At 44.8% G+C, this 14,143-nt stretch overlaps 1 long non-coding RNA gene across 8 annotated transcripts in view, besides 3 other annotated features; it reads right to left on the bottom strand.

The window, feature by feature from the left end:
- Positions 1 to 14,143, bottom strand: part of LOC105373592 (uncharacterized) — a 530,486-nt gene that overhangs the window by 414,286 nt on the left and 102,057 nt on the right. The window lies entirely within an intron of this gene.
- Positions 147 to 705: an enhancer, noted in NCBI's record as "NANOG-H3K27ac-H3K4me1 hESC enhancer chr2:122775524-122776082 (GRCh37/hg19 assembly coordinates)". NCBI's record gives its function as "activates a minimal SCP1, AML or CMV promoter by ChIP-STARR-seq in naive and primed H9 embryonic stem cells {active_cell/tissue: H9 hESC(naive and primed)}" and the evidence as "EXISTENCE:reporter gene assay evidence [ECO:0000049][PMID:30033119]".
- Positions 8,373 to 8,927: an enhancer, noted in NCBI's record as "H3K4me1 hESC enhancer chr2:122767302-122767856 (GRCh37/hg19 assembly coordinates)". NCBI's record gives its function as "activates a minimal SCP1, AML or CMV promoter by ChIP-STARR-seq in naive H9 embryonic stem cells {active_cell/tissue: H9 hESC(naive)}" and the evidence as "EXISTENCE:reporter gene assay evidence [ECO:0000049][PMID:30033119]".
- Positions 8,928 to 9,483: an enhancer, noted in NCBI's record as "H3K4me1 hESC enhancer chr2:122766746-122767301 (GRCh37/hg19 assembly coordinates)". NCBI's record gives its function as "activates a minimal SCP1, AML or CMV promoter by ChIP-STARR-seq in naive H9 embryonic stem cells {active_cell/tissue: H9 hESC(naive)}" and the evidence as "EXISTENCE:reporter gene assay evidence [ECO:0000049][PMID:30033119]".

Below are 14,143 nucleotides of genomic sequence, written 5' to 3'. Positions count from 1 at the left end.
GAGCGACGCAGAAGACGGGTGATTTCTGCATTTCCATCTGAGGTACCGGGTTCATCTCACTAGGGAGTGCCAGACAGTGGGCGCAGGTCAGTGGGTGCGCGCACCCTGCGCGAGCTGAAGCAGGGCGAGGCATTGCCTCACCTGGGAAGCGCAAGGGGTCAGGGAGTTAGTTCCCTTTCCGAGTCAAAGAAAGGGGTGATGGACGCACCTGGAAAATCGGGTCACTCCCACCCAAATATTGCGCTTTTCAGACTGGCTTAAAAAACGGCGCACCACGAGACTATATCCCACACCTGGCTCGGAGGGTCCTATGCCCACGGAATCTCGCTGATTGCTAGGACAGCAGTCTGAGATCAAACTGCAAGGCGGCAGCGAGGCTGGGGGAGGGGCGCCCGCCATTGCCCAGGCTTGATTAGGTAAACAAAGCAGCCAGGAAGCTCAAACTGGGTGGAGCCCACCACAGCTCAAGGAGGCCTGCCTGCCTCTGTAGGCTCCACCTCTGGGGGCAGGGCACAGACAAACAAAAGACAGCAGTAACCTCTGCAGACTTAAATGTCCCTGTCTGACAGCTTTGAAGAGAGCAGTGGTTCTCCCAGCACGCAGATGGAGATCTGAGAACCGGCAGACTGCCTCCTCAAGTGGGTCCCTGACCCCTGACCCCCAAGCAGCCTAACTGGGAGGCACCCCCCAGCAGGGGCACACTGACACCTCACACGGCAGGGTATTCCAACAGACCTGCAGCTGAGGGTCCTGTCTGTTAGAAGGAAAACTAACAAACAGAAAGGACATCCACACCGAAAACCCATCTGTACATCACCATCATCAAAGACCAAAAGTAGATAAAACCACAAAGATGGGGAAAAAACAGAACAGAAAAACTGGAAACTCTAAAACGCAGAGCATCTCTCCTCCTCCAAAGGAACGCAGTTCCTCACCAGCAACAGAACAAAGCTGGATGGAGAATGACTTTGACGAGCTGAGAGAAGAAGGCTTCAGACGATCAAATTACTCTGAGCTACGGGAGGACATTCAAACCAAAGGCAAAGAAGTTGAAAACTTTGAAAAAAATTTAGAAGAATGTATAACTAGAATAACCAATACAGAGAAGTGCTTAAAGGAGCTGATGGAGCTGAAAACCAAGGCTCGAGAACTACGTGAAGAATGCAGAAGCCTCAGGAGCCGATACGATCAACTGGAAGAAAGGGTATCAGCGATGGAAGATGAAATGAATGAAATGAAGCGAGAAGGGAAGTTTAGAGAAAAAAGAATAAAAAGAAATGAGCAAAGCCTCCAAGAAATATGGGACTATGTGAAAAGACCAAATCTACGTCTGATTGGTGTACCTGAAAGTGATGGGGAGAATGGAACCAAGTTGGAAAACACTCTGCAGGATATTATCCAGGAGAACTTCCCCAATCTAGCAAGGCAGGCCAACGTTCAGATTCAGGAAATACAGAGAACGCCACAAAGATACTCCTCGAGAAGAGAAACTCCAAGACACATAATTGTCAGATTCACCAAAGTTGAAATGAAGGAAAAAATGTTAAGGGCAGCCAGAGAGAAAGGTCGGGTTACCCTCAAAGGGAAGCCCATCAGACTAAGAGCAGATCTCTCGGCAGAAACCCTACAAGCCAGAAGAGAGTGGGGGCCAATATTCAACATTCTTAAAGAAAAGAATTTTCAACCCAGAATTTCATATCCAGCCAAACTAAGCTTCATAAGTGAAGGAGAAATAAAATACTTTATAGACAAGCAAATGCTGAGAGATTTTGTCACCACCAGGCCTGCCCTAAAAGAGCTCCTGAAGGAAGCACTAAACATGGAAAGGAACAACCTGTACCAGCCGCTGCAAAATCATGCCAAAATGTAAAGACCATCGAGACTAGGAAGAAACTGCATCAACTAACGAGCAAAATAACCAGCTAACATCATAATGACAGGATCAAATTCACACATAACAATATTAACTTTAAATATAAATGGACTAAATTCTCCAAATAAAAGACACAGACTGGCAAATTGGATAAAGAGTCAAGATCCATCAGTGTGCTGTATTCAGGAAACCCATCTCACGTGCAGAGACACACATAGGCTCAAAATAAAAGGATGGAGGAAGATCTACCAAGCCAATGGAAAACAAAAAAAGGCAGGGGTTGCAATCCTAGTCTCTGATAAAACAGACTTTAAACCAACAAAGATCAAAAGAGACAAAGAAGGCCATTACATAATGGTAAAGGGATCAATTCAACAAGAACAGCTAACTATCCTAAATATATATGCACCCAATACAGGAGCACCCAGATTCATAAAGCAAGTCCTCAGTGACCTACAAAGAGACTTAGACTCCCACACATTAATAATGGGAGACTTTAACACCCCACTGTCAACATTAGACAGATCAACGAGACAGAAAGTCAACAAGGATACCCAGGAATTGAACTCAGCTCTGCACCAAGCAAACCTAATAGACATCTACAGAACTCTCCACCCCAAATCAACAGAATATACATTTTTTTCAGCACCACACCACACCTATTCCAAAATTGACCACATAGTTGGAAGTAAAGCTCTCCTCAACAAACGTAAAAGAACAGAAATTATAACAAACTATCTCTCAGACCACAGTGCAATCAAACTAGAACTCAGGATTAAGAATCCCACTCAAAGCCGCTCAACTACATGGAAACTGAACAACCAGCTCCTGAATGACTACTGGATACATAATGAAATGAAGGCAGAAATAAAGATGTTCTTTGAAACCAATGAGAACAAAGACACAACATACCAGAATCTCTGGGACGCATTCAAAGCAGTGTGTAGAGGGAAATTTATAGCACTAAATGCCCACAAGAGAAAGCAGGAAAGATCCAAAATTGACACCCTAACATCACAATTAAAAGAACTAGAAAAGCAAGAGCAAACACATTCAAAAGCTAGCAGAAGGCAAGAAATAACTAAAATCAGAGCAGAACTAAAGGAAATAGAGACACAAAAAACCCTTCAAAAAATCAATGAATCCAGGAGCTGGTTTTTTGAAAGGATCAACAAAATTGATAGACTGCTAGCAAGACTAATAAAGAAGAAAAGAGAAGAATCAAATAGACGCAATAAAAAATGATAAAGGGGATATCACCACCGATCCCACAGAAATACAAACTACCATCAGAGAATACTACAAACACCTCTACGCAAATAAACTAGAAAATCTAGAAGAAATGGATACATTCCTCGACACATACACTCTCCCAAGACTAAACCAGGAAGAAGTTGAATCTCTGAATAGACCAATAACAGGAGCTGAAATTGTGGCAATAATCAATAGTTTACCAACCAAAAAGAGTCCAGGACCAGAAGGATTCACAGCCGAATTCTACCAGAGGTACAAGGAGGAACTGGTACCATTCCTTCTGAAACTATTCCAATCAATAGAAAAAGAGGGAATCCTCCCTAACTCATTTTATGAGGCCAGCATCATTCTGATACCAAAGCCGGGCAGAGACACAACCAAAAAAGAGAATTTTAGACCAATATCCTTGATGAACATTGATGCAAAAATCCTCAATAAAATACTGGCAAAACGAATCCAGCAGCACATCAAAAAGCTTATCCACCATGATCAAGTGGGCTTCATCCCTGGGATGCAAGGCTGGTTCAATATACGCAAATCAATAAATGTAATCCAGCATATAAACAGAGCCAAAGACAAAAACCACATGATTATCTCAATAGATGCAGAAAAAGCCTTTGACAAAATTCAACAACCCTTCATGCTAAAAACTCTCAATAAATTAGGTATTGATGGGACGTATTTCAAAATAATAAGAGCTATCTATGACAAACCCACAGCCAATATCATACTGAATGGGCAAAAACTGGAAGCATTCCCTTTGAAAACTGGCACAAGACAGGGATGCCCTCTCTCACCACTCCTATTCAACATAGTGTTGGAAGTTCTGGCCAGGGCAATTAATTAGGCAGGAGAAGGAAACAAAGGGTATTCAATTAGGAAAAGAGGAAGTCAAATTGTCCCTGTTTGCAGACGACATGATTGTATATCTAGAAAACCCCATTGTCTCAGCCCAAAATCTCCTTAAGCTGATAAGCAACTTCAGCAAAGTCTCAGGATACAAAATCAATGTACAAAAATCACAAGCATTCTTAAACACTAACAACAGACAAACAGAGAGCCAAATCATGAGTGAACTCCCATTCACAATTGCTTCAAAGAGAATAAAATACCTAGGAATCCAACTTACAAGGGACGTGAAGGACCTCTTCAAGGAGAACTACAAACCACTGCTCAAGGAAATAAACGAGGATACAAACAAATGGAAGAACATTCCATGCTCATGGGTAGGAAGAATCAATATCGTGAAAATGGCCATACTGCCCAAGGTAATTTACAGATTCAATGCCAGCCCCATCAAGCTACCAATGACTTTCTTCACAGAATTGGAAAAAACTACTTTAAAGTTCATATGGAACCAAAAAAGAGCCTGCATTGCCAAGTCAATCCTAAGCCAAAAGAACAAAGCTGGAGGAATCACACTACCTGACTTCAAACTATACTACAAGGCTACAGTAACCAAAACAGCATGGTACTGGTACCAAAACAGAGATATAGATCAATGGAACAGAACAGAGCCCTCAGAAATAACGCCGCATACCTACAACTATCTGATCTTTGACAAACCTGAGAAAAACAAGCAATGGGGAAAGGATTCCCTATTTAATAAATGGTGCTGGGAAAACTGGCTAGCCGTATGTAGGAAGCTGAAACTGGATCCCTTCCTTACACCTTATACAAAAATCAATTCAAGATGGATTAAAGATTTAAACGTTAGACCTAAAACCATAAAAAACCCTAGAAGAAAACCTAGGCATTACCATTCAGGACACAGGCATGGGCAAGGACTTCATGTCCAAAACACCAAAAGCAATGGCAACAGAAGACAAAATTGACAAATGGGATCTAATTAAACTAAGGAGCTTCTGCACAGCAAAAGAAACTACCATCAGAGTGAACAGGCAACCTACAAAATGGGAGAAAATTTTCACAACCTACTCATCTGACAAAGGGCTAATATCCAGAATCTACAATGAACTCAAACAAATTTACAAGAAAAAAACAAACAACCCCATCAAAAAGTGGGTGAAGGACATGAACAGACACTTCTCAAAAGAAGACATTTATGCAGCCAAAAAACACATGAAAAAATGCTCACCATCACTGGCCATCAGAGAAATGCAAATCAAAACCACTATGAGATACCATCTCACACCAGTTTGAATGGCAATCATTCAAAAGTCAGGAAACAACAGGTGCTGGAGAGGATGTGGAGAAATAGGAACACTTTTACACTGTTGGTGGGACTGTAAACTAGTTCAACCATTGTGGAAGTCAGTGTGGCGATTCCTCAGGGATCTAGAACTAGAAATACCATTTGACCCAGCCATCCCATTACTGGGTATATACCCAAATGACTATAAATCATGCTGCTATAAAGACACATGCACACGTACGTTTATTGCGGCATTATTCACAACAGCAAAGACTTGGAACCAACCCAAATGTCCAACGATAGACTGGATTAAGAAAATGTGGCACATATACACCATGGAATACTATGCAGCCATAGAAAATGATGAGTTCATGTCCTTTGTAGGGACATGGATGAAATTGGAAATCATCATTCTCAGTAAACTATCGCAAGAACAAAAAACCAAACACCGCATATTCTCACTCATAAGTGGGAGTTGAACAATGAGATCACATGGACACAGGAAGGGGAATATCACACTCTGGGGACTGTGGTGGGGTGGGGGGAGAGGGGAGGGATAGCATTGGGAGATATACCTAATGCTAGATGACGAGTTAGTGGGTGCAGCACACCAGCATGGCACATGTATACATATGTAACTAACCTGCACAATGTGCACATGTACCCTAAAACTTAAAGTATAATAAAAAAAAGAAAAAAGAAAGAAAGAAAGACATACAGCCTTCCGTGTTGTTGCCCACCGTCTCCTTGAGACCCCATCCTCCCACACCCACTCCCAGAACCATGAGAAAGGCCAGCTGCCCCCAGCAGCTCACTCCGGGCTCCCCAGCCTGCCTTGGACTCCGTTCATCCTGTCCTGCACCATCCCAGCTCCTGAGCCTGTTGATGGCGCTCCCCTGTCCCCCATGCTATCACTCCTCAGATTTCATTCTCAGCATCATTGTTGTAGTTACAACCTTGGCTCCTCCATGCAATGGCTCTGGGCCCCAGTCCCAGCTGGGGAGGTTCTGGAGAACCTGTGGCCCCAAGACCTCCACATTCCATGCACCACCCATACTGGCAGGTGGCTCATTCTGCAGCTGGGGGAGCTAGGAGCAGACACATCCACTGTCCCTCAGCAATGATGTCCCCCAGCTCCACCAGTGGCCACATCTCCTGCACAGCCTCCCAGATGAGTTTCACAGCTCACACTTTTCTTGAGATCTGCCCTGAGACTGAAGAGCTTGAAAGCAGCGTCTGCCATCGCCCCAGTCACCGCAGAGGCTGTGAAATGCCAATCAAGTTGTGACTCAAATATTTGTCCTTTGTTTCTACAGCTCACTCATTAAGAAATTTCCATGAAATTGACCTTAGCTTCCTATTTCTTTTGGCACTTATCTGATTTGTTTGTATTTCCACATAGGGCAGGAGATAAAATGTAGTGAAAACACAAACTTTTCTTAGCAGCAAAGGACCAGATAACCACTATCCTCACTCAGACTCCACAAAAAATATTCTTTAAAAAATACTTGGTTGTGTGCACAAGTGTAGCTGGCTGCCACACTTTCACATTCCATCCTCTGATCTAATGTTTGCCTAAGTTTCCACCATTGCATACACATTTTCTGGATAAGTCACCTTACAGTTATTTGTAACATCAGTGCGATTTGGTTCATCTGTCCTGTAAGTAGCAAACTCTAACTGCAAGGAAATGGGACCTCCCATGGGAAATGTATGATGGAGAAAAGGAGGAAGAAACAGCTCCACGTCATTTTAGAACGCAGCACCATGGAATGCTTGGTGCCTCAAACCAAACCCCCAGGAGCTTCCTGCCCTCGTTTCCCTCAGGAGACACTTTCAGTCCATCAGCCAACCCAATCGATGTCCCCCACTATGGCCCTCTCTGTCCCCTTGCTGTCTCTCCCCTGCCCCAACCCTACCCCTCTCTTGCCTAGTATTGCTGCTGCCTCTTAACTAACTTCTTGGCTTCCAATCTCTCCCCTGCCTCCCGTATTCTAACAGTGAGAAGAAGGATCGCTTCAAAATACAGATCAGATAAGTGCTCACTCCCTGCTTTAAACACTCTAAAAACTTCCCAATGTACCTGCAATAAAATCAAAGCCTCATTTTGATTTTCAAACCAAAGACCTGGTCCCTGCCTTGCACTCTGACCTCATTCCTTCCTAAAATAGCACCCTCTCTGCTCCTGTCCCCTGACCTCCCATCTTGCTCTTCATTTTCTGCAGGGCCCTGAGGCAGGAGAACTGCATTGCTCATCTGTTGATGCAGTTATTGTCTGTCTCCTCATTAGAACATGGGCTCTGGGCAAGCAAAGACCATGTCTGTCCAGTTCCCCTCTCTGTCCCAGTGTCCAGAACAGCACCTGGTGCTCAGGTATTTGCTATATTAAAATGAATGAGCACAGAAGGTGTCTGAGGAGGACAGATGTGGCTGAGAATCCCAAAACAAGCCTGGGCTGCTGGACTCGTGCATGCATCAATTCTTCCTGATGTTCTTGGGTTCTGTGGGGATGGTGCATGCACTGCACAGATCCCACTTTAGTGGGGACTTGTAGCTCCAGATGTGAGGGCACTGTGGGCAGAGTGAAGAGCTCTCAGCCCCTCCAGGGTTTGCCTCCGCTGCTGAAAGCCCTCACCTAAGGCTACACTCTTCTCAGCATGGCCCACACCCAGTGACTGATCCAGGCAGGAGCAGAGAGGTCTGACCTCCTCTGCCCAAGAAAGGAAATCTCCAAAGGGCCAATCTAGCTCCAGCACTCCCCACAGGGCTGTGCTCACTGTGGCAGGCCTGCATCATAGCCGCTCCCTCTCCTCTGCCCTCTTCTGATGCCTTCCCCTTCCTTCCACAGATGTGGCTTCCCTGGGCTCCCCTACCAAACCCCCTGCCCGCTGAAAATCTCAGCGCCTGCTTCCTGGGAGGCCCAACCTGCAACAGGCTTCTCCCTTTTTTTTTTTTTTTTTTTTTTTGAGACGGAGTCTCACGCTCTGTCCCCCAGGCTGGAGTGCAGTGGCACGATCTCAGCTCACTGCAACCTCCACCTCCAGGGTTCACACCATTCTCCTGCCTCAGCCTGCCGAGTAGCTGGGACTACAGGCATGCGCCACCATGCCCGGCTAATTTTTTGTGTTTTTATTAGAGACGGGGTTTCACCGTGTTAGCCAGAATGGTCTCGATCTCCTGACCTCGTGATCCGCCCGCCTCGGCCTCCCAAAGTGCTGGGATTACAGGCATGAGCCACCACACCTGGCCTTTTAGCTTCTCCCATTTCTAGGCACCATGTCAGGGGCAGCAATGTAGAGACGGAAAAAACAGGCGCTCACACCTAGTAGGAGAAGCAGACAAACCAGCTGACAGCCACAGGGCCCTGTTATGATAGTGACATGATGGAGGAAGGCTTGTAGCTATCCGGGGCACAGAGAGGGTCTCCAGCCCAGCCTTGAGCTCTCCAGCCAGGCAGAAGCACCAGAGAAACTTCCTGTAAAACATGAAGCTTAAGCTCAGTTCTGAGGAGCAAACCCGTTAGCCAGGAGGATGACAGGAACAGGATGCAGCTGCAGGGAGGTGAAGTGGGAGAGCCAGCAGGGCCCAGGAGAGGAGGGGGGCCCAAGAGAGCGGTGCATCCTTGCATTCAGCAGTGCAGGCTTCATCCCCAGTCCACAGGAGCTGCTAGAGTGTCAAGCAAGGGAACAGGAAGCAGGCACCATCAGAGGGGGAGAGGCAGCTAAATGCTGAATGTTAGAAGGCATCCCAGGCCCTGCATCCATGGGAAGGTCAAAGAGAGCCCGGGCTGCACTTCCTTGTGCCTGGTCTGCCCTCTCGGGAGCCTCTGTAGTCCCCTATTGCTGGGGGTGGGGGCCTGGCCCAGCTGATCTCCACCTAATGTCTCAAAGCGTGACCACCCTCTGTGCCAGCTCTCTGGGTCCCAGGACACATCACTCGCTGCCCCCTCGCCCTCTGCTCTTTTGAAGCCCATCCATCACACACCCTCATCACTTGGTATTTATCACCTAAGGAAGGGCCACAACCTCCAAATCCAAGTGCAGCAATGTGACTAAAGCCAGCTCTCTGCATTTCCATATTTCTGTCGGAATGACATTATCTACTTTTGACCAGAATGCTTTGTGACCCTCTCTGTTAATGAAATATACCATGGTGATTACAACCTTCTTTAGGCATGGTATTTAAAAGTATCGGTGGCTTTTTAGAGAATACGCTTCACAAACTGCTTGGAAAACTCCATCACTTGAGTTTGCTTTTGACCCAAGTCTGATTTCTGATTTTTTTTTCTTTTATTTTCCCCTTTTTGTTCTCTCTTGTGCCTTTTTTTTTTTTTGAGAAGGAGAGGTGGGCAGGAAGGTAGACTTCAGGCTTTGGGATTTACTTCATTAGTTACTTCATTTCCTTACTTTTCATAAAAGCTTGCAGAGTAACTGATATTTTTATTCTGAAAGCATTTCCATCTACGCCAGACCACTGGCTCGGTTTTAGCGAATTAAACTTGTGAAACGAGGAAGTGGATAAAAGTTCATTCCAGAAATGCAGGCTGATGCGATTCTGCATGCTAATTGAGCCTATGCCCCTGCAAAAGGACACAGGGCAGGCGGGCTTTGGAGCTGTCCCAGCAATGCCCCCTTTGCACAGCCCTGCAGGATAGGGAGGGGGCTTGGGGTGTGAAATCCACGGGGTAAAAATCTGATATCTGGAACATGATAAATCACCATTTGCTTTCCTATTTCAGAATATTTCCCCCATCTTTTTATTTAATACTGCCGACAAAGGACCTGCAGTGACCAGAGGGGCTCTGACAACTCCCATCTGGGCTCTGCATTTAAATCCCCATCAGAAGTTACAGAAAGGGGCCAGCTACGGTGGCTCATGCCTATAATCCCAGTAATTTGGGAGGCTAAGGCAGGTGGATCACTTGAGGTCAGGAGTTCAAGACCGGCCTGGCCAACATAGCGAAACCCCGCCTCTACTAAAAACGCAAAAATTAGCCAGACGTGGTGGCATGCGCCTGTAGTCCCAGTTACTTGGGAGGCTGAGGCACAAGAATCACTTGAACCTGGAATCCTGGAATGTGGAGCCTGCAGTGAGCCCAGATTGCACCACTGCAGCCTGGGTGACAGAGCAAGACTCTATCTCAAAAAAAAAAAAAAAAAAAAAGAAGTTACAAAAGGGATTGGACATTATAAGAAGAGTAAATTTTTTATGAAACAAATGTGTGATGTGCTTAATAGCAATAGTTACTGTTCAGCAGCTACATTGTGCCAGGTGTTACACAGATATTATTTCTTCTTCTCAGAACAGCCCTTTGAAGCAGGCTTCTTTATCTCCATTGTCCAGAGAAGTAACTGCAGCTCTAAGAAGTTAAGAGGGACAAGGTCACAGAGCAAGTGGGTGGCAGACTTGAGCCTGGGTGTCCCTGACTCTCAAGTTCATGCTCTTTCTGTTGAGGGAGATTTGAAAACGGGGACTCTGCACCTGGTTGAGCTAAACCAGCACCGGCATAAGAGGTCAGGGAGAGGTCTGCAGTCCAGCCTGCCCAGATGACATTTTCCCCCTTTGTTCTACAGCTGAAGCCCTGTTACTGCCGACACTATTTGGTTTTCCTATCTTTAGGTAAGAGAAGCTGAGGATTGCCTGCATTCCTCACTCCCCATGGCCTAGGCAAAGTCTGAGTCACCCCAGGAACAGTGGCATGAGAGTTTCCGAAAGAACTACCCCAAACCATCCCAAGGTAGGGCTGGCTGGGATTCCAAGGAAACACTAAACGCCCAGGGGGATCCATCTAAAGCATTTATTAGGAGAATTTACATACACAGGGCTTCATCATCCTTTAAACAGTCAGCAAGATAGGAGATGTTCTACCCAGATGTGTTCCCAGCGAGTGTCATGGAGTTTATATGAAGGTTTAAGGCATTTAGCTCAGGGCTGAGGCCACTTTCTCCATGTTTAGCAACATGTGTGATATTTCAGTGTTTGAGGCAACAACCTAAACAACTTTATCAGTGCCTGCGAATGTTCAAAGCCCAGCTTGGGTGCAAGCCTGCAAGGGAAAACATGCAGCTGGCCGGGTCACAGAGTGTTCAAAGCATTGTGTGTTTCAAAGGAAGAAAGCGGAGGGAACTCCAAGATGCTTTTGAAACTGTCGATTCTACTGCTGCTAAACAACAAGGCAGAGACATGGTAACCCCAGCAGCACCTTGATGCCAAGAAGTGGAGAAACACAGGTCAAACTGCAGATAGGTCAGTGCTCCAGAGGGTGCTGAATGGACACACGGGATGGGACCCCATTGACAAGCACCTTCAAACTGGTGACAGAAGCCACGCTAGCTGCCTCATCCCCCCAGGGAGCCCTGCAAAGAAAGAAACATGCCAGCATTGCCATGGGAAAAAAGGAAAAGAAAAATGAGGATGAACCTTACCAGATATTTAAAATATATTCCAAAGCTACTGTAATTCTTTTAATTTAGTACTTGTTCAAGAATAGACAAAAATAAATACAGTAGACAGAATAAAGTAACACCTAAATGCATATTTTACAAATAAAAATTTAGTAGGCGATAAAGACAGCATTTCAAATTGGTGAGAAAAATGAATGGATTTGTAAACTGGTAATGGTACAACTAGCCAGCAATTAGCAAAAATATATAAACCTGATCTCTAACTCAATTCCTATCAAAAATAAGTTCCAGATAAATCAACTACAATATAAAAAATAAAAACAAGAGCACTGGAAAAATGAGGACAAACATTTATAATCTCAGCAGAGAGAGGGCCTTTATAAGCTTGACACAAAATTAAAAAGCCATAAAGAAAATATTGACAAATCTGACCATATCAACTTTAAAAAGTATCTAAAGATAGCCAAAAGACAAAATAGGGAAAATATTATATCTCTTGGCAGATGAAAGACTAATTTCTTTAATACACAAAGAGCTCTTATAAATCAATAAGCAGAAGATGAACCCAGTAGAAAAAAAGTGTGATGGCCATTAACAGGCAATTCAAAGAAAACGAAAGGCAATTGACCATCACATAAGAACAAATGTTCACCCTCACGCAAAATTAAATAGATGCAAATTACAGCAACATAAATTATCTTCTACTCTTGTCTCCCTCCCAAAGTAAACACAGCGATCTTTTCAAAACACAAATTTGATTATATCTCTCCACCATCTAAATCTCTTTAAAGGTTTTCCACCACTCTTGGGAAAGGTTTTAAATCCTTAATGGGTCCTGTGTGGGCCCTGAACCCATCACTCTTTCCTAACTCCTCCCATCTGGGTCTTCTCTCAGGACCTTTGCACCTGGTATACCCCCTCTCCCTGAGATGCTTTTCCCTCTCCTCTTCCTTTCCTCCCTCCCCTAATGAGCTTCTACTCATTTTTCAGATTACAGCTCAATTCTCCCTTTCTGGGGGAAACTTGTCCTGACCCCCCAGCCTATTCCCTCACTACATTAGCTCTCTCTTTTATATGTTCTCCTATCATGTATTTTTGCACTTATAAAATGTGATTATTAAACTAATATTTGTCTCCTCATCTGGACCATAAGCTCCATTGGGAAACTGATTTTATCTATGTGGTTTTTAAATTATTGTCTCCTCATCTGGACCATAAGCTCCATTGGGAAACCGATTTTTTTCCCAATAAAAAATTCACTTTTTTTGCCGGGCGTGGTGGCTCACACCCGTAATCCCAGAATTTTGGGACTCCCGGGCGGGTGGATCACCTGAGTTCAGGAGTTCGAGACCAGCCTGGCCAACATGGTGAAACCCCGTCTCTACTATAAATACAAAAAAAATTAGCAGGACATGGTGGCAGGTGCCTGTAATCCCAGCTACTTGGGAGACTGAGGCAGGAGAATCGCTTGAAGCTGGGAGGCGGAGGTTGCAGTGAGCCGAGACCACGCCACTGCACTCCAGCCTGAGCAGCAGGAACGAAACTGCATCTCAAAAAAAAAAAATTTACTTGTTTATATTCATCGTGTTCTTGGAACATAACACACAACGCTTGCCATATAGTAGGTGCTCAATTAATATCTTTGAGTGACTGAATAAACAAAAGAATTGTTTTCTCCTGTGATGTTGCAAATATTAGAAAGGTGCAGAGAGAATCAGGCATTTCTGATTAGCAAGAAAAATTGTTGGAGATCAAGCTAAATTGTGCCAAACAGGATGAATTTATCTGTTAGCTAGACTTGTAGATATACACAAAGATAGATGAAGATGTTGCTTGCGGCATTCTTCATGATAGCAAAAGCCGAGAAACAGCATGCATATTCTTTTTTTCTTTTTTTTTTTTGAGACAGAGTCTCACTCTGTCGCCCAGGCTGGAGTGCAGTGGCGCGATCTCGGATCACTGCAAGCTCCGCCTCCCGGGTTCATGCCATTCTCCTGCCTCAGCCTCCAGAGTAGCTGGGACTACAGGCACCCGCCACCACACCTGGCTAATTTTTTGTATTTTTAGTAGAGACGGGGTTTCACCGTGTTAGCCAGGATGGTCTCGATCTCCTGACCTCGTGATCCACCCGCCTCGGCCGCCCAAAGTGCTGGGATTACAGGCGTGAGCTACCGCGCCCAACCAGCATGCATATTCTTTAAGAGAGAATAAGTTAGAAAAGTTATGATACATCCATGCAATGAAATAGTGTACAGCCATTTCAGAGAATGATGCCAATCTTTACATGTGGGAAGATCTCCAAGATCACCTATGAACTGAAAAGCAAGTTGTGGAGCATTCCATGCAGCGTGATTCCATTTGTGATTTTTCAAAGGAAGCAATACATCCTTTCCCTTGCATAGGAAATTTCTGGACAGATGAGCAACAAGCAATGAATCATGGTAACTTGAGGAAGAG

Source organism: Homo sapiens, chromosome 2 (assembly GCF_000001405.40).
Source record: "Homo sapiens chromosome 2, GRCh38.p14 Primary Assembly".
NCBI classification, from domain to species: Eukaryota; Metazoa; Chordata; class Mammalia; order Primates; family Hominidae; genus Homo; species Homo sapiens.
Note: the sequence above shows the minus strand (reverse complement) of the source record. Positions and strands in the feature narration are given on the sequence as shown.